General features: G+C 39.5%; 1 protein-coding gene across 4 annotated transcripts in view; it reads left to right on the forward strand.

Moving 5' to 3' along the window:
- The window catches only part of PPIG (peptidylprolyl isomerase G), a 57,056-nt gene that overhangs the window by 1,130 nt on the left and 35,850 nt on the right, over positions 1-20,076 (forward strand). For all 4 annotated transcript variants that reach the window (XM_005246967.2, NM_004792.3, XM_017005302.3 and 1 more), the window contains exons 2-4: positions 18,162-18,214; positions 18,546-18,622; positions 18,707-18,781. In XM_005246967.2, coding sequence (XP_005247024.1) covers positions 18,562-18,622; positions 18,707-18,781 — 136 coding nt within the window. In that variant the 5' untranslated portion in view covers positions 18,162-18,214; positions 18,546-18,561. The remainder of the gene's footprint in view (positions 1-18,161; positions 18,215-18,545; positions 18,623-18,706; positions 18,782-20,076) is intronic.

The raw sequence follows: 20,076 nt of genomic DNA on the forward strand, positions 1-20,076 counted from the left end.
GATCTCCTGACCTCGTGATCCGCCCACCTCGGCCTCCCAAAGTGCTGGGATTACAGGCGAGAGCCACCGCGCACGGCCAGCTCATGTTTAGTCTTAAGGAGCAAAGTCTAGATGTGCTGGCAAGGAGTATGCACAATCGTTTTGGAAATGCTATAAAAGCACCATTTTGTGCATTGATTTTAATTTCTTTCCACGATAGCCCTTTCTGTGTGTAACCAACATTTTGCAGTAGTGAACACAAATACAAAAGTATTTGCTTTTATAGTTTGGTACTAACATAGTTGTCCAAAGAACAATTAGATGTTTTAGAAATTAGGGGGGCCTGATATTAACTTTCAGTAGTTAAAACCAGGAAAAAAGAGTGAGTGTGTGTGTGTGTCGGTCACACACACGTTTTTGTCTTTGTGTATTCCCATTTGGTAACAGGATGGCCGGTAATTGCTACTTTGTAACAATGACGGGTGGGGGGGTGAACATTTTATAAATTTTGAAATCGTGCTATAAAATCCAGAAAAGATACATTTAGAATGGCTGCTTCTCTCCTGTTTTTAATATATCCTGAAAATTTACCCGTTTTAGCACTCCCCTTTTTTTTATGTTAACGAGTTGGGACAGAATTATTTCTGTAACAAATTACATGGTTCTGTGTCTTAAACAAGAGTTCATTGTACATTGTTTGACTATTTCTTTATGATTCAGAATTATTGATGCTCTGAGATCCTATAGGGTCTTGTAGTAGGATTCTGCGCATTTGAATTGTTGGTTTCCTTTTTAAGGCTTTTCTAGGCAGTCAGTTGTCAGGAGTGCTCCTGCTGTCAGGAGTGTATAAGTATGTAAACTTCTTAGGTTAGAAAAATTTGGACTTTCTGGCCCAATTATCTTTCTGAGCTTCAGTTTCTTCACCTACCTGCAAAATGACATTTTGATCTCCACCTTCCATCAACTGTGGGCTTGAAAATTAAATACTCAGCTTTGTTAAAATTGTGTGTGAAGTTGGCTTTCATTAACTCAGTGGTTCCTTTATGGGTGAAGAGTGTTCATTACATTTATTTTTAACCATATAGTCGATTTACTGTGGTGCTTATTATTGTGGTCTTGCAGTATTGGTGACTTCTACATATTTTTGATATTTTGCCTTAAATTAGATTTTCTGTGAGGCAGCATCCTCTTCTTTATACAAAGGGAAAGTGGAAGCCATTCATAATAAAGTACTTCTGTTAGGACACTATCTGGGGTTAATTCTTTAAATAGTAGTTGCCCCTTTAGTTAGGCTTTTTTCCTTCCTATTAGTTTATAAATAGAGTATTTAAACATAATTATAACATGTTGTCTATTTTTAGAATCCCAGTGTACTAAGATGTCATGAAGGAATACATAGATAATTAATGCAAGTGACCTGAAGAGTTTGTTGCAAGTCTTTCTGTTGCATTGTGGCATTGCATGCTTTTTGCTTTTATTTATTTATTTTTTTCAGACAGAGTCTTGCTCTGTCGCCCAGGCTGGAGTGCAGTGGCATGATCTCAGCTCACTGCAACCTCCACCTCCTGAGCTCAAGGGATTCTCACGCCTCAGCCTCCCTAGTAGCTGGGAGTACAGGTGCCTGCCACCACACCGGGTAATTTTTATATTTTTAGTAGAGAAGGGGTTTCACCATGTTGGCTACGCTGGTCTCAAATTCCTGACCTCAAGTAATCCATCCGCCTCCGCCTCCCAAAGTGCTGGGATTACAGGCGTGAGCCACTGTGCACTGTGCCCAGCCTGACTTTTGCTTTTTTTTTTGAGACAGAGTCTCGCTGTCTTGCCCATACTGGAGTGCAGTGGCGTGATCTCGGCTCACTGCAACCTCCGCCTCCCGGGTTCAAGCAATTCTTCTGCCTCAGCTTCCTGAGTAGCTGGGATTACAGGCATGTGCCACCACACCCAGCTGATTTTTGTATTTTTTATAGAGATGGGGTTTCACCATGTTGGTTAGGCTGGTCCCAAACTCCTGACCTCATGATCTGCCCACCTTGGCCTCCCAAAGTGCTAGTATTACAGGCGTGAGCCACCGTGCCCAGACCTTTTTGCTTTTAATGTTAGGACTAAACTTCAATTTTCATGTTGCTTAAGTGTCGGTGATTTTCCCTGGTTTAATGCATAAATGGTCACCATAAGAACTCGGTATTTTTATTTCTGTAGGGAAAAACTTGCATCCTGAAATTTACTACAGACAGTATTCAGAGAAAACTGCTGTTATTGGGAGTTTGTACTTCTAGCAGCAGACAAGAAAACTTTTGAACTTTGTTTTAGAATAATGGCTTAAAATGATCACACGCTTACTGAAATTTGATTATATAACACTTATAAACACCAATCTTTTATATTAAAATGATTATTTTAAAAACATGAATGATGGCCGGGGGTGGTGGCTCACACCTGAAATCCCAGCACTTTGGGAGGCCGAGGCGGGTGGATCACCTGAGGTCGGGAGTTCCAGACCAGCCTGACCAACATGGAGAAACCCCGTCTCTCCGTTTCTACTTAGAATACAAAAATTAGCTGGGCATTGGTGGTGCATGCCTGTAATCCCAACTACTCGGGAGGCTGAGGCAGGAGAATCGCTTGAACCCGGGAGGTGGAGGTTGCAGTGATCCGAGATCACGCCATTGCACTCCAGCCTGGGAAACGAGCGAAACTCCATCTCAAAAAATTAAAAATAAAAATAAAAATATGAATGATTCCTTAACTCGTTTTAAAAATGAACGAAGCATATTCGTGTGTGTGTGTGTATATACTAAGCTCTTGTTAATTATTGTATACATTTTAGCTTATAATTAAACCATTGAATCATGGTTATATGGTGAAAAGTAATATTAAGCCATTATGTGGAATATTTGTGAGTAAACTAGTTTTTACCGTGAAATTGTAGAAAGTACTAAATCAGAACTTTTGCTTTTTTCCATTTGTGAGCTTGAGCCACTCATTTCATCTCTTTTGTCCTCTTGTTCTTGATCTATAAAATCAGAAGATTGGATCAGGTTATCTCTTAGAGTTCCTTGAAACTCCAAATGTTCTTATTTTTTTACGTAGGAATTACTGGATTGAATAATGGGGTTAGAACTGTGTGTATATATGTATATATCTTTGAAAACTGGGGGTAAATCTTTTTTCTTTTTTGTTTTTGGTTTTGGTAAATTTATTATTATAAGAACTTAGATCAGGCGGAGTGCAGTGGCTCACGCCTGTAATCCCGACACTTTGGGAGGCCGAGGTGGGTGGATCACCTGAGGTCGGAGCTTGAGACCAGCCTGAGGAACATGAAGAAACCCTGTCTCTACTAAAAATACAAATTTAGCCGGGCATGGTGGCGCATGCCTGTAATCCCAGCTACTCGGAGGCTGAGGCAGGAGAATCGCTTGAACCCAGGAGGCGGAGGTTGCAGTGAGCCAAGATCGCACCATTGCACTTCAGCCTGGGCACAAGAACGAAACTCCCTCTCAAAAAAAAAAAAAAAAAAAAAAAAACCTTAGATAATTGCAAGTACAACATTAAGAGTATTAGCCGTGAGTTCCCAGTTAGTATTTGCTTTTGTAGTTTGGTAGTGACAAAGATGTATTATATTTTTATGTCTCTCAGATCGTATATATAGTAAGTGCGTAATATCCTTATTTAACACTGAATTAGGCAACATTATGGGTTATCTCTGTAAGTTTTCTAGAGGATTTAAGAATTTCAGAAGTGTCTATACTCTGCTAATCATGTTGCTACCAGTGCAGTGGTTTGCATCAGGGTGGTTTGTGTCCATCAGAAACATCAGTGGAAGGGACACTACATGAAATAGCATAATTGTCTGTCTTGACACCTCAGAATGTTAGCTTGTTTCTACTTTATTCATTAGCAACTTGGCATTTGTAAATATACTCAAATGTTTTTGATGCGGTGCATTTTCGTTTCTCATTTGATCTATATGAACTACATTAAGAGTAGGCTAAAGAGGCTGGTAGGAATGTTAAATTACTTTCCTTGAAAGTAATATTAAAGATCTGCTATAGTTTTAATTAATTTAACTTACATGATTTCACTTAAGAGGTGGAAATCTTATATATAAATTGTCTCCTGTTTCATCAAATTTAGCAGATAAGAATAATCCTTTCTTTCTTGGTTGTAAACTGAAGTGGATTCTGGTTTTGGGGTTTTTTTGGGGGGGGTTGTTTTTTTGGGAAACAAAACACTTCCTAGTAGATCTAGGGAATGGGTTCTGTTTCAGTTGTGGAGGAGGCAGAGAGGATGATTACTGGTGGTAGGTTCTGGGAGAATTTACTGACTACAGATATATGTTAGCAGTATCCCCATTTAAGAAGCTAGCAGTCCGGGTGCAGTGGCCCCATGCCTGTAATCCCAACACTTTGGGAGGCTGAGGCAGGCGGATCACCTGCGATTGGGAGTTTGAGACCAGTCTGACCAACATGGAGAAACCCCGTCTCTACTAAAAATACAAAATTAGCCGGGTGTGCTGGCGCATTCCAGTAATCCCAGCTACTCGGGAGGCTGAGGCAGGAGAATCTCTTGAACCTGGGAGGCAGAAGTTGTGGTGAGCTGAGATTGCACCATTGCACTCCAGCCTGGGCAACAAGAAAGAGCGAAACTCTGTCTCAACAACGACAACAACCAAAAAAAAAAAAGAAAAGAAAAGAAAAAGGAAGCAAGCAGTACATGTTTAAGAGGATAGGCACTGGATTATAATAGAGTCTAGTTCTGTTCATGCCTCAATTAACATTCTTTTTATTTGATAACGTCACTGTGTTTGGTGTTGAAGATACAAAGGTTTCGAATTGTTGGAGTTTATGATAAAAGAGTAACATTTAACAAGGGAGGATCATTTAAACCTTAGAAAGTCAGGGCCTGGAGCAGTGGCTCAAGCCTGTAACGCCAGCACTTTGGGAGGCCGAGGCAGGCGGATCACCAGGTCAGGAGATCGAGACCATCCTAGCTAACACGGTGAAACCCCATCTCTACTAAAAAAATACAAAAAATTAGCCGGGCGTGGTGGCGGGTGCCTGTAGTCCCAGCTACTCGGGAGGCTGAGGCAGAAGAATGGCGTGAACCCGGGAGGCGGAGCTTGCAGTGAGCCAGAGGTCACGCCACTGCACTCCAGCCTGGGTGACAGAGGGAGGCTCCCTCTCAGAAAAACAAACAAACAAACAGACCTTAGAGAGTCAGCGTGAAGTTCCCAGAGAGTGAACTCTGGCTAACTAATTATCTGGCTAATTTGCATCTTAAAAGGACACACGGGAATCAGTGAGGAGAATCCTAAGGGTCAGAGACTTGCTTGGCATCTTAATCGTTAAAAATAATTTACTCAGACTAGGCAATATATCCACAAAAAAATTTTTAAAAATTAGCTGGAGGTGGTGGCTCACGCCTTTAGTCCCAGCTACTCGGGAGGCTGAGGTAGGAGGATTGCTTGAGCCACTGCGTTCCAGGCTGCGGTGAGCTGTGATCTTACCACTGTGCTCCAGCCTGAGCGGCATAGCGAGACCCTGTCTCTAAAAATAGAAATAATTTACTTTGTATTTTTTCTAGATTAGAAACTCGGTGCTATGCTGACTTCCTCATAATGTGTGAAACTTCCAAATAACTTTAAAATATAATAAAGTTACCATATGCCTACTTATAAATGCCATGTCCGCTACTATATATTTTAATAATTAGTTGCCTATATTTTTGTCCTGTTTTTCATTTAGTCATGTTATTTTAGGATTAATATGGAAAATAGTTTATGTATGAAACTACAAGGATAAATTTTTTTACACATGAACTGGTTACCTCTTACTGATTTTTTTATGAAATGTGTTTGTTGCAGAAGTTTATAAATGATAGCACTGTGATATTTTTAAATTGTATTACCTTATTATTGAAATACAAAAGTGACTATATTGTTGATAAATATTAAAAATAACTTTAATCACCTGCATAGGAAAAACAAGAATATAATAAAAGTATTAAAAGCTATAGCTAAGTTTTAGAATTTTGTGCATTTTGTATGATTAATTTTTTTCAGTGAGCTTATTAGCTTTATTGCTTATCTTATTAAAAATGTGTTTTCATTATGATGAAAAAAGTAGATTCAGTATATTATACTTAAATTTCTGAAGGAGTCAAGCAGGTGAGGTAAGTACATGAGGTCAAGTAGACAATAAATTTTAACAGCTAATAAGCAATAGCTAGAATTAGGTCAAACTAGAACATATATATGTCATCTGTTGGGAGCAGACTATGCTGATTGCTGTGTAGAAATGGGGCACAGTGCCACATATTGTGATTTTTTTTTTTCCAAGAAAAATTTGTCTGGATTTTAGCTGTAGTTCATACTAAACAAATTTGCAGCAAACAAATCACCCACAGATTACTACTACACTGAAAATTTTGATTATATTCTAGTATTTTTAGGCAATTCATGATTTTTTTTTTTTTTTTTTTTTTTTTGAACAGAGTCTCACTCTGTTGGCCAGGCTGGAGTGTAGTGGCATGATGACTGCTCGCTGCAACCTCAACTTCCTGGGCTCAAATGATCCTCCCACCGCAGCCTCCCAAGTAGCTGGGACCACAGGCCTGGGTCATCACACCCAGCTAATTGTCATTTTTTTTTTAATAGAGATGGGGTCTTGCTGTTGCCCAGGCTGGTCATGGATATTTTATTTAAAATTGTAAGGGCTTAATTTTCCCCTGAATCATGTTTTTGGTATCTCCTAGCATTATTTTTTCTCTTTACTTTTACTTGAAAAAAAATGAAAAATTGACCAGATGTTTGTCTTACTGCATCTGGTTTCAGATGTCTTTTTTCTTTTTTTTTTTTTTTTTTTGAGATGGAGTCTCGCTCTGTCACCCAGGCTGGAGTGCAGTGGCGCGAACTCTGCTCACTGCAAGCTCCGCCTCCCGGGTTCACGCCATTCTCCTGCCTCAGCCTCCAGAGTAGCTGGGACTACAGGCGCCCACCACCACGCCCAACTAATTTTTTGTATTTTTAGGGGAGACGGGGTTTCACCATGTTAGCCAGGATGGTCTCAATCTCCTGGCCTTGTGATCCGCACGCCTCGGCCTCCCAGAGTGCTGGGATTATAGGCGTGAGCCACCGTGCCTGGCTCAGATTTCTTTTTTCTAATAGAGATGCGTTCTCATTATGTTGACCAGGCTGGTCTTGAACTCCTGGGCTCAAGTGATCCTCCTCCCTTCGCCCCTCAAAGTGCTGGGATTACGGGTGTGAACCACCGTGATTTCAGGTATTATTTAATAATCGAGGAAATCATAATTATAGAGGAAATAGGATATACTGTTTCTGATTAGTAATTAGTAACTTTTTATAATGATTAGTAATTAGTAGCATTTCAGTAATGTTAGCGACACAGCATGTGAGCCATCTTTTGTTGTCACCATTGTTTTTCATTAGCTGCTAATATTAAAACATTTACATATTCAAGGGATTTGTGTAGTAATTTTAATAGTAATTTGCTGCCTTTCATCTTTCTTGCATTTGAGGCATATGTGATTTGTCATTTCAGGAAAACTAATCAATTTCTATGAAGAGTGTATCCTTGAGTGATAGACTCTGAATACATCTTATAGCCATTTCCACACATGTACATTATAATGTTAGAAGACTGTGTGTGTATATATATATATATATCTTAGGAATTTTTTCTTTATAATAGCAGTACATTTATTATTTATTTTATTTATTTATTTATTTATTTTGAGACAGAGTCTTGCTCTTGTCGTCCAGGGTGGAGTGCAATGGCACAATCTCAGCTCACTGCAACCTCTGCCTCCTGGGCTCAAGTGATTCTCCTGCCTCAGCCTCCCAAGTAACTGGAATTACAGACACCCACCACCATGCCCGGCTATTTTTTTGTATTTTTAGTAGAGATGGGGTTTCACCACATTGGTCAGGCTGGTCATGAACTCCTGACCTCAGGTGATCTACCCGCCTTGGCCTCCCAAAGTAGCAGTACATTTATTAAAGAAAACTAGAAAGAAGTAGTGAGGCAAAAGCCCTCTCCAGTCTTACAGACACACACAATAATGATTTATTTCCTTTCACTCTTTTTTTGTCTTCTTGTAAGTCTTTGCCTGAGCTTGAAGGTCGGGAGTAGTTTACACAATCATCATTATGTTGCATATGCTGCTTTATATCTTTTTTTTTTTTTTTTTTTGAGACGGAGTCTCATTCTGTCACCCAGGTTGGAGTGCAGTGGCGTGATCTCGGCTCACTGCAAGCTTCACCTCCCAGGTTCACGCCATTCTCCTGCCTCAGCCTCCAGGTGGGACTACAGGCGCCCGCCACCATGCCCGGCTAATTTTTTTTTTTTTTTGTATTTTTAGTAGAGACGGGGTTTCACCATGTTAGCCAGGATGATCTCGATCTCCTGACCTTGTGATCTGCCTGCCTCGGGCTCCCAAAGTGCTGCGATTACAGGTGTGAGCCACCACGCCCGGCCCACTGTTTTATATCTTGATTATTTTTCCAAATTATTAATCTTCATAAGCATTGCTTTAATTATTGTTGAACCAGAGACAATTTCACTTTTTTGTGATATTATGATAGGTTGCTTTTGATTATATGTTGCTAAAAAGAGCACCAGCGTAGCCAACTTTATACCTGAAGGCTTTCTGAATTTAGAGTAGTTCCTCATAATAGATTTCCAACAGTTGAATTTTACTGGTTCAAAGTATAAACACTTATGAATTTCTCATATTCTTAAATTTCAAAGGAGTTGTATATGATCACTAGTAGTAGTATAAATTCCTGTTTCCATTTGTACATGTGTTGAGAGTTATTCTTTTAAAAGATCTTTGCTGTTGATAGGCAAAAAAAAAAAAACGCATTTTATTAGTACTTTTTTAAAAATAATTGTTTCCTGATTACGAAATTGAAGAAAAATTGGAAAACAAATACATTAAAAATTACCCTTAAACCCATGGCCCACACATGATGATTGCTAACATTATGGTGTAAATCCTGTCTTTTTAATGTGCTTACTGATACGTGTGAAATTGGGATTTTATAGTCTGTATTGTTTACTAACTTGCTTTTTTCACCTGGTATGACTATTTTGTCATTCATGAACAATCTGGTAATTTTTCTTCTTCAGTTTTACTCTTTCTTTTCTTTTTTTTTTTTTTTTTTTTTGAGACAGAGTCTCTGTCACCCAGGCTGGAGTGCAGTGGCACAATCTCGGCTCACTGCAATCTCCACCTCCTGGGTTTAAGAGATTCTCCTGTCCCAGCCTCCCAAGTAGCTGGGATTACAGGTGCACATCACTACGCTCAGCTAATTTTTTTGTATTTTTTAGTGGAGACGGAATTTCACCATGTTGGGCTGGCTAGTCTTGAACTCCTGACCTCAAGTGATGCCTTGGCCTCCCAAAGTGCTGGGACTACAGGCGTGAGACACCATGCCTGGCAGTTTTATTTTATTTTATTTTATTTTGAGATGGAGTCTCACTCTGTTGCCCAAGCTGGAGTGCAGTGGCATGATCTCAGCTCACTACAACCTCCGCCTCCCGGGTTCAAGCGATTCTCCTGCCTCAGCCTCCTGAGTAACTGGGATTACAGGTGCCCACCACCTCATGCAGCTCATTTCTGTATTTTTAGTAGAGATGGAGTTTGCCATGTTGGCCAGGCTGTTCTCGAACTCTTGACCTCAGGTGGTCCACCCGCCTCAGAGTGCTGGGATTATAGGCGTGAGCCACTGCGCCTGGCCTATTCATTTTTATAGTAAGTTTTTTCAGTGTCTTAAAAGTTACCCTTTTCTTAATTTTTAATTTTTGTGGGTACATAGTAGGTATATTTATGGGTTACGTGAGATATTTTGATACAGGCATGCAATGCATAATGATCACGTTAGACTGAATGAAGTATCCGTCTTCTCAAGCATTTATCCTTTTTGTTACAAACAATCCAGTTATACTCTTTATTTTTAAATATACAATTAAATTTTTTTTGAGTATCGTTAGTCACCCCATTGTGCTAGCAAACACTAGGTTTTATTGATTCTTAACTATTTTTTTGCACCCATTAACCATCCTCACTTCCAGTCCCCATTACCCTCTCAAGTGTCTAGTAACAGTCTCTCTACTCTCTTATCTCCAAGAGTTCAATTGTTTAAATTTTTAGCTCCCACAAATAAGTGAGAACATGTGAAGTTTGTCCTTCTGTGCCTGGCTTATTTTACTTACTATAATGACCTTCCAGTTCCATCCATGTTGTTACAAATAACAGGATCTTATTCTTTTTAATGGTTAAATAGTACTCCGTTGTGTATATGTATCACAGTTTTTTGTTTTGTTTTGTTTTTTGCTTTTGAGACTGAGTTTCGCTCTTGTTGCCCAGGCTGGAGTGCAGTGGCGCGATCTTGGCTCACTGCAAGCTCTGCCTCCCGGGTTCAAGCGATTCTCCTGCCTCAGCCTTCCCGAGTAGCTGGGATTACAGGCGTGTGCCACTACGCCCGGCTAATTTTGTATTTTTAGTAGAGATGGGGTTTCTCCATGTTGGTCAGGCTGGTCTTGAACTCCTGACCTCAGATGATCCACCCGCCTCGGCCTCCCAAAGTGCTGGGATTACAGGCCTGAGCCACTGCGCCCGGCCTTTTTGTTTGTTTTTTTGAGACGGAGTCTCACTCTTGCCCAGGCTGGAGTGCAGTGGCGCGATCTTGGCTCACTGCAACCTCTGTCTGCCCTCTGGGTTCCAGAAATTTTCCTGCCTCAGCCTCCCAGGTAGCTGGGATTACAGGCACACGCCATCATGCCCTGTGAATTTTTGTATTTTTAGTAGAGATGGGGTTTCATCATGTTGGCCAGGCTGGTCTGGAACTCCTGACCTCAAGTGATCCCCCTGCCTCAGCCTCCCAAAGTGCTGGGATTACAGGCGTGAGCCTTCGCACCCGGCCGAAAATTGTGTTTTGAGTGGCCTAAACCCCTAGATCCCAGGGAAACTTTGGCCTTAGGGAAAAGCAGATGGTGCCAGAAGTAATGCCAGCAGAAAGCTCACCTCACCTCCTTTAGACTGCTCAGTGAGGCAGGAAAGCGGAGAACTTTCTTGTAACACTCAGCAGCCTGAAGGGCCTCACTCCCCATGAAACCTAAAGAAAATTGAAGACTTGAAGGCTCCAGGAGTCACCTAATGCAGCAGTCCCCCAACAGTGTCTGCCTTTGGAGCCACGCAACCAGCACTAATATCTCTCCTGGTCCATTTTTTTTTCTGAGACGGAGTCTTACTCTGTTGCCTGGGCTGGAGTGTTGTGGCGCAATCTCAGCTCACTGCAACCTCTGCTTCCCGGGTTTAAGCGATTCTCCTGCCTCAGCCTCCTGAGAGTAGCTGGGACTACAGGCATGCGCCATTACGCTCAGCTCACTTTTGTGTTTTTAGTAGAGACAGGATTTCACCATGTTGGCCAGGGTGGTCTTGAACTCCTGACCTCAGGTAATCTGCCCACCTTCGCCTCCCAAAGTGCTGAGATTACAGGCGGGAGCCACCACACCCAGCCCACATATTCTTTATCTGGTAATCTGTTGATAGATACTTAAGTTACTTCCAAATCTTGGATATTGTAAATAGTGCTGCAATAAACATAGGAGTGAAGATATCTCCTTGATATATGATTTCCTTTCTTTTGAGTGTATACCTAGGAGTGGGATATGTTATAATAATTTTTAATAGATAATATATTCATGTGGTATAAAATTGAAAATATGAGGTTATAAAGTGAAAAATCTTAGCCCTCTTTTCCAGTTACCCATTTTCTCTCTCCCTAGATGCCTTTTTGTTAAGCAAATACATACTTGTAAAATTTAATTTAATTTTGTTTTTGGAGATGGTCTGAGGCTGGAGTGCAGTGATGCTACCATAGCTCACTGCAGCCTCAAAATCCTCGGCTGAAAGAGTCCTCCCACCTGATCCTCCTGAGTAGCTAGGACTGCAGGTGCACGTCACCATGCCTGGCCCCACTTTCGTTTTTCTCTCGTTTTTCTTTTTTCCTTTTCTTTTCTTTTTTTTTTTTTTGAGACAGAGTCTCACTCTGTCACCCAGGCTGGAGTGCACTGGTGCAATTTTGGCTCACCACAACCTCCGCATCCTGAGTTCAAGCAATTCTGTGCCTCAACCTCCCGAGTAGCTGGGACTACAGGCGTGCGCCACCACATCCAGCTAATTATTTATATTTTTAGTAAAGACATGGTTTCGCCATGTTGGCCAGGCTGCTCTCAAACTCCTGATCTCAGGTGATCCACTTGCCTTGACCTCCCAAAGTGCTGGGATTACAAGCATGAGCCACCACGCCCAGCTCTCTCTTCTTTTAAAAATATACAAAGACAGTATATCCTACACACTTCTGTACCTTGCTTGTTTGTTTGTTTGTTTGTTTGTTTGTTTGTTTGTTTGAAATAGAAACAAAGTTCTCCCTATGTTTCCCAGCCTGGTGTTTCAATCCTTCTGCCTCAGCCTTCCTAAGTGCTGGGATTATAAGCATGAGCCACCATGCCTGGGCAACCTTTTTTTTTTTTTTGATACAGGGTCCCACTCTGTCGCCCAATCTGGAGTGCCATGGCACAATCTCAGCTCACTGCAACCTCCGCATCCTGGGCCCAAATGATCCTCCTGCCTCAGCCTCCCAGGTAGCTGGGACTACAGGCATGCATCACTATGCCCAGCTAATTTTTATATTTTCTGTAGAGACGGTTTTGCCATGTTGCCCAGGCTGGTCTCAAACTCCTGGACTCAAGCAATCCACCTGTCTCAGCCTTCTAAAGTGTAAGCCACTGCATCTAGCCTTTTATTTTCTTTTTCTTTTTTTTGGAGAGGTAGTCTTGCTCTGTCGCCCAGGCTGGAGTGCAGTGGCGCGATCTTGGCCCACTGCAAGCTCTGCCTCCCGGGTTCACACCTTTCTCCTGCCTCAGCCTCCTGAGTAGCTGGGACTACAGGCGCCTGCCACCACACCCGGCTAATTTTTTTGTATTTTTAGGGGAGACGGGGTTTCACCGTGTTAGCCAGGATGGTCTCGATCTCCTGACCTTGTGATCCACCCAAAGCGGCCTCCCAAAATGTTGGGATTACAGGCATGAGCCACCGCGCCTGGCTTATTTTCTTTTTCATTTAACAAAATAAGTTAACATTTACAGATTTTAGGAAATAGTTCTCCCTATCTTGGAGACAGCAGTAAATGAACAGATTTCTCATTCTTTCTAATAGCTTTGTACTTTCTACAGGTATACAGTGGTATACCTGATTTATATTTATTAAATTATTTTGTATTATATATCAAATTATATATACATTTATCAAAGTATTATAAATATTTATATTTATATAAATACAGGTAAATATTTATATGTATATAAATACAGGTAAATATATTTATATAAATACAGGTAAATATATTTATGTAAATATAGGTAAATATTTATATTTATATAAATACAGGTTTATATTTCTATAACCTGTTCCTCCTTTATGGACATTTAGGTTTACAGCCTTTTACTACTACAAATTATGGTACATTGAATAACCTTGCACATATCTTATTTTGCGAATGTGTAAGGATGTACATAAAGTAAATTCCTAGAAGTGGAATTACTGAGTCAGAGAGTCTTAAATGCATTTGTAATATGGATATTTGTTGTCAAATTGGCAATCAAGTAATTCTATCAGTTTATCCCTTTACCAGCAGCAACAATAAATGAGGTCATTTTTTATTTTTGTCAATCCAATTGGTGAAAAAATGTTACGTTTGTAATTTTAATATGTAAGATTATGATTTCTCATAGATAGTATTTCATTTCATGGGGGTATTTTTTAAGTAATTCTTACTACTGTACAATTATCTTTTTTCATGTGGCATTTAACACATTTTTTCATGTTATTTTAAAAAGCTTATTTTCTTAGGCAGTCCATCACAAACTAATTTACTTAACTATTGTGTTAGACATTTAAGTTGTTTGTGCTTACTGTTATTTAAAAAAAAACCCAAGGACTATTTTATTTTAAATGGTTGCCTTTACAGATATTCCAGTACATAGAATTAGTAAAATGTTAAAAGGTACAATGAATATGAATATATTCAAGATTCTTGGCCTGTAATGCCAAGTTGCTTATCAAAACTGCTGGTGCCTTTTATGTTTTTTTTTGTTATTTCACTTTTTGTGAATTCTCTGCTCATACACCCTTAGGTGTCCTTTGAGCTTTAATTTGATAGACAGACAGTGAAAGGTTTTGGTTGTCACAGTGACTGATATTTAATAGGGCAAGGGTTGCTTAAGGTTCTGCAGTGAGTTGGATAACCCTACTCAATGAATTGCCCTAGTGCCCCCATTCCTAAGCACTGCTTAAGAAAATTAATATTCTCAGCAACTATGACAATGTATTTTCCCCAATTTTTTTCTTTTTAATTTCACATAGACAAATAGAAATAATTTTTTTCATAAGTTCAAATCTGTTTATCTCCATTATTTACTTCATTAGTGAATCTAAAAAGCTGTTTCATATCCAGGGTTCAGGTAAATATTCGCAAGTACTTTTCTTAGTTTCTATTTTGTGGGGAGGTACACATTTTGTGAGAGGAAAAAAAAATTTTTTTTTTTTTTTTGAAACGGGGTCTCACTGTCACCCAGGCTGGAGTACAGTGGCTTGATCTTGGCTCACTGCAACCTCCGCCTCCCTGGCTCAAGTGATCTTTCCACCTCAGCGTCTCCAGTAGCTGGGGCTACAGGCATGTGCCACCATGCCTGTCTAATTTTTGTATTTTTTGTGGAGACAGGGTTTTGCCATGTTGCCCAGGCTGGTCTCGAACAGCTGGACTTAAGCAATCTGCCTGCTTCAGCCCCCCAAAGGGCCGGGATTACAGGTGTGAGCCACTGCTCCCAGCCTCCTAAGCTCTTTACATGTTAAACAGCAGCACTAGTTGAGTACCTCTTACCCAAAATGCTTTGGACCATATTATTGCGGATTTCTGACTTTTTCAGATTTTGGAATGTTTGCAATATACTTACCAGTTAAACCTTCCAATTCTGAAAATCCAAAATGCTCCAATGAGCATTTCCTTTGGGTGTCTTTTTGGCACTCAGAAAATTTCAGATTTGGGGTTTTCAGATTTAGGATGCTCAATCATGATGTAGTAATCATGACAGTGAGACACTTTAAAAATGTCATTGAAAAACAAAAACAAAAATAAGAAAAAAGAAAAAAATATATAATTGAAGATTTAAATTACATGCTTACCTGAGTTTCTTTCATAAGTCTGCTGTATACAACCTAGGAAATGCAAAAACTAAAATAAAAATCACCTATAACTCATTTACTTAGAGATAGACTCAATATTTTCATTTATTTCCTATTTTGTTTTACTGTGCAGATACATTTTAAACTTTTATGAATTTTAAGTTGAAAAACTAATACATGAACATATTCTTATTGCAAAAATTCAAACCTTATACGTAAAGCTGAAGGCCCCCAATGACTTCCATTCCTAGACTCAGTCCCTTTTGCAGAGATTCTGTGAGGAGTTTGGTATATATAGTATTTTCAAGATCTCTCTTTGTAGAAATAGGGTATTGTTTTATGGTGTTAAAAGAAATACTTATGTACAATTTACTTTTTTGTTTCTTTTGAACTAAACAGTAGGTTTCTTGGCTTGTGTTACAATGAAACTGCCATATAGTATTAAATAGCATTTTATACCGTAATTTGTTCAGTTTCTCCCCATTGTAAGATATTTTGAGTGTTTCCATTTTTTTGTTGTTGTTACTGCAATTTTACATTCTCACTTATGCCTATCCTCTCACATTTATTCATTCATTTAATAAACACTGATTTCTTGTCATATGCCAAGCACTGTTTGAGCAGTAAGAATAAGACTGAAAATTCAGGTTTATCACATCATGGAACTTATATTCTAGTGAGAGAAGATGGATATAAAAATTGAATATCAATTAGCAATAAATGCTTGGAAGAAAAATAAAGCAGAATAAGAGGATGTAAAGTGTTAGGAGGATGAGAGCTCCTTTCTTGAATACAGTAGACTAGGAATGGGCCTCTATAAGAAGGTGATACTTGAGCAACAAAGGGATGAACCATGTGAAGATGGTTTGAGAGCATTCCAGGTGGAGAGAACAGCAAATGTAAAGGACCTGATGAAAGAGTAGGCTGTTGGGTGGCAGGGGGAACAAGCAGGATACCAATGTAGCTGAAATAAAGTTGAGGAAAATATTAGAAGATGTTAGGAAATGAAAGTTGAGGAAAATGCCTAGAGGTGAACAGGAGCTAAAATATTTAGAGCCGTATAATTGAAATTACAGTAGCCACAAGCCACATGTGCTTTTTGAGCACTTGAAATGTGGCTAGTCTACATTGAGATATGCTTCAAGGATAAAATATACACTGGATTTCCAAAGACTTGTACAAAAAAAAAAAACTCAGTAACATTTTTGTTTAGTATATTTTGAAGTGGTAATAGTTTGGTTGTACAAGTTGAACATCACTAATCTGAAAATCTGAGGTCCAAAATGTAAACTTTCTGAGCATCACAATTGAAAATTTCACACATAAGTACTTAATACAAACTTTGTTTCATGCACAAAATTATTTTTTAAGTTGTATAAAATTACACATACAATTCAGGCTGTATGCATAAGGTATGTTTGAAATATAAATGAATTTTGTGTTTAAACTGTGTCCCATCCCCAGGATATCTCGTGTATGATAATATTCCAAAATTCAAAAAAAAAATCTGAAACACTTCTGGTCCCAAGCATTTCCTATAAAGGATATTCAATCTGTACATACTGAGTTAAATAGAATATATTAAAATTAGCCTGGTTTTTGTTTGATTGTTTGAGTCTCGCTCTGTCCCCCAGGCTGGAGTGCAGTGGTGCAGTCTTGGCTCACTGCAACCTCTACCTCCCGGGCTCAAGCAATTCTCCTGCCTCAGCCTCCTGAGTAGCTGGGATTACAGGCACCCGCCACCACAGCCGGCTAATTTTTGCATTTTTAATAGAGATAGGGTTTCACTATGTTGGTCAGGCTGGTCTCGAACTCCTGACCCTGATCCGCCCGCCTCAGCCCCCCAAAGTGCTGGGATTACAGGCGTGAGCCACCGCACCCGGCCCAAAATTAGCCTGTTTTTGTTTGTCAAAATGTGGCTACTGAAAAATTTTATACCTGGGTGGCTCATGTTTTTATTGAGCAGTGCTGGTCTAGAGCCTTAAAATCCATGCTAAAACTTTTCAGATGAATAGTAAGACAGTTTTAGGCAGGGGAAGGATATGATAAGGTTTGTGTTTTAAAAGAATCATTCCACTCTGGCTATTTTGTGCAGAAGAGGCAGTACAGAATTAAGAGTAAAATAAGAGAAACCAGTTAGGAGGCTATTGGAATAGCCTAGATAAGAAATGATAATGGTAAAGGTAATGAGAACTTTTGGGATAGTTTTTGAAGCTAGAGCCAAATTACCTTCCTAATGGTTTGGATAATGAGGTATGAGGGAAAGTGGAACCGAAGATGACCCCCAGGTTTTCAGCCTCAGCAGCTGGCTTGGACAATGATAATGTTTACTGAGTATTCAAGGGAATGGAGGTAGAAGAATAAAGAGTTTTGTCTTAGATATATTAATTATTTTTAATAAAGTAAATTTTTATTGAAATATAACATAGCGTACATAGCATATGAAACTGTCATTTTTAGAGTCCATCATTTTGGATACTATTTACACTTAGTGCCTTTGTTTCTTCTACGGGTAAGTATCATCTTCCACCAAGTATTACGATTCAGCATTTTAAGTCCTTAAAATAAAATGCCTTATCAAAATAATGTCTGTTAAATAATAGCTTTCTGTTATGGAAATAAAGCTGTTACACAGAGTATCTCTTTGGTATTTTTTGTGTCTATACCAGCATATCAGTAAAGGCTGTTGCTCAGAATCAGCAAGTACCCTCATATGTAAAATTGAATGTGCTTTTACTCAAAATGTAAATCTACCACATATACTATTTAACAATAGTTAAATAGTATATTAACTATATACTATTTAACAATAGTTAAATAGTATATTAACTATATACTATTCTTTTTCTTCTTACATGATTTTTGCTTCTTAAAAATCTCACATTTTAATCAGAACTCTCATTTTTGTTTTCTAGGAGCACAGGGATCAGTTGTCCTTGTTTTTTTTTGGTCTTTTCTTCATTTGAAGGTAATCTGCTTATTGAGTTCACTAATCATACAGAGTAAATACAATTTTCTGTTTGAGCTATTAATCTGTATTCCGGTTGATAAATAGAAAGTTGATTACATAATAATGGTTAAGGCTTAACTTTCAAGTCTTTTCTAATTGCTTCACAAAATGCAATCTAATCTCTAAAAAGAAAGCACTAATAATCCATGTGATTTACCTCATAGAAATAAATATCAAAATAAATTCAAACTATATTTCTAATATTGTTTCACAGAATTTTTTTTCCAGAAATTTGTGAAAGATCTTTGCTATTTTAGTCTGCTTGTCTGAAACTGTATTTTACTCACAGATTAAGTATTGGAGCCATGGGAATAAAGGTTCAACGTCCTCGATGTTTTTTTGACATTGCCATTAACAATCAACCTGGTAAGAATATTAGTTGACATTTATAAATGGGTGTTTAATATTTTAAATTAGTAAAGAAGTTTAACCAACTACCTTCTTTTTCAGCTGGAAGAGTTGTCTTTGAATTATTTTCTGATGTGTGCCCCAAAACATGCGAGAACTTTCGTTGTCTTTGTACAGGTTTGTTCACATTTTCAACTGCCCTAATAGTAGTCTCAGTTGACTATGGCTTGCTTGCTTGCTTGGTTTTTTTTTTTTTTTTTTTTTTTTTTTTGAGACAGGATCTTGCAACGTTGTCCAACTGGACTAGAACTCCTGGGCTCATCAATCCTTACACATAAGCGTCCTCAGCTGGGATACAGGTGTGAGCTACCACACCTGGCATAGCTTGCTTTAATTTTTTATTTACTCTATTTTAGATTTCTCCATGCATATTACTTTTCTCTTAACATGAAGATTACACAGCAGTGACTAGGGCGTGAAAGTAATTCTTAGAAATATTATGGCTGGGCAGCCAGGCGCAGTGGCTCATGTCTGTAATCCCAGCACTCTGGGAGGCCGAGGGGGGTGGCTCACGAGGTCAGGAGTTCCAGACGAGCCTGGCCAAGATGGTGAAACCCCATCTCTACTAAAAATACAAAAATTAGCCAAATGTGGTGGCGCACGCCTGTAGTCCCAGCTATTTGGGAGGCTGAGGAAGGAGAATCACTTGAACCCGAGAGGCAGAGGTTGCGGTGAGCCGAGATCGTGCCATTGCACTCCAGCCTGAGCTAGAAGAGCGAGACTCCATCTAAAAAAAAAAAAAGAAAGAAATATTATGGCTGGGCACGGTGTGGCTGGGCATGGTGGCTCACACCTGTAATCCCAGCACTTTGGGGGGCCGAGGTGGGTGGATCACTTGAGGTCAGTAGTTCAAGACAATCCTGTCCAACATGGTGAAACCCCATCTCTACTAAAAATGCAAATAATCGGCCAGGCGTGGTGGCTCACGCCTGTAACCCCAGCACTTTGGAAGGCCAAGGCAGGCAGATCACCTGATGTCAGGAGCTTGAGACCAGCCTGGCAAACATAGTGAAACCTCATCTCTACTGAAAAAATAAAAATTAGCCAGGCGTGGTAGTGGGTGCCTGTAATCCCAGCTACTCGGGAGGCTCAGACAGGAGAATCACTTGAACCCTAGATGGAGGTTGCAGTGAGCCAAGATCGCACCATTGCTCTCCAGCCTGGGCAACAAGAGTGAAACTCTGTCTCAAAAAAATAAATAACAAAAAATCAGCTGGGTATGGTGGTGTGTGCCTGTAGTCCCAGCTACTCTGGAGGATGAGGCGGGAGATTCGCTTGAGCCCAGGAGGCGGAGGTGGCAGTGAGCCAAGATCACTCCACTGCACTCCAGCCTGGGCGACAAGAGTGAGATCCTGTCTCAATTAAAAAAATAGAGGCCAAGTGTGGTGGCCCATGCCTGTAATCCCAGCAGT

Source organism: Homo sapiens, chromosome 2 (genome assembly GCF_000001405.40).
Source record: "Homo sapiens chromosome 2, GRCh38.p14 Primary Assembly".
Taxonomy (NCBI): Eukaryota; Metazoa; Chordata; class Mammalia; order Primates; family Hominidae; genus Homo; species Homo sapiens.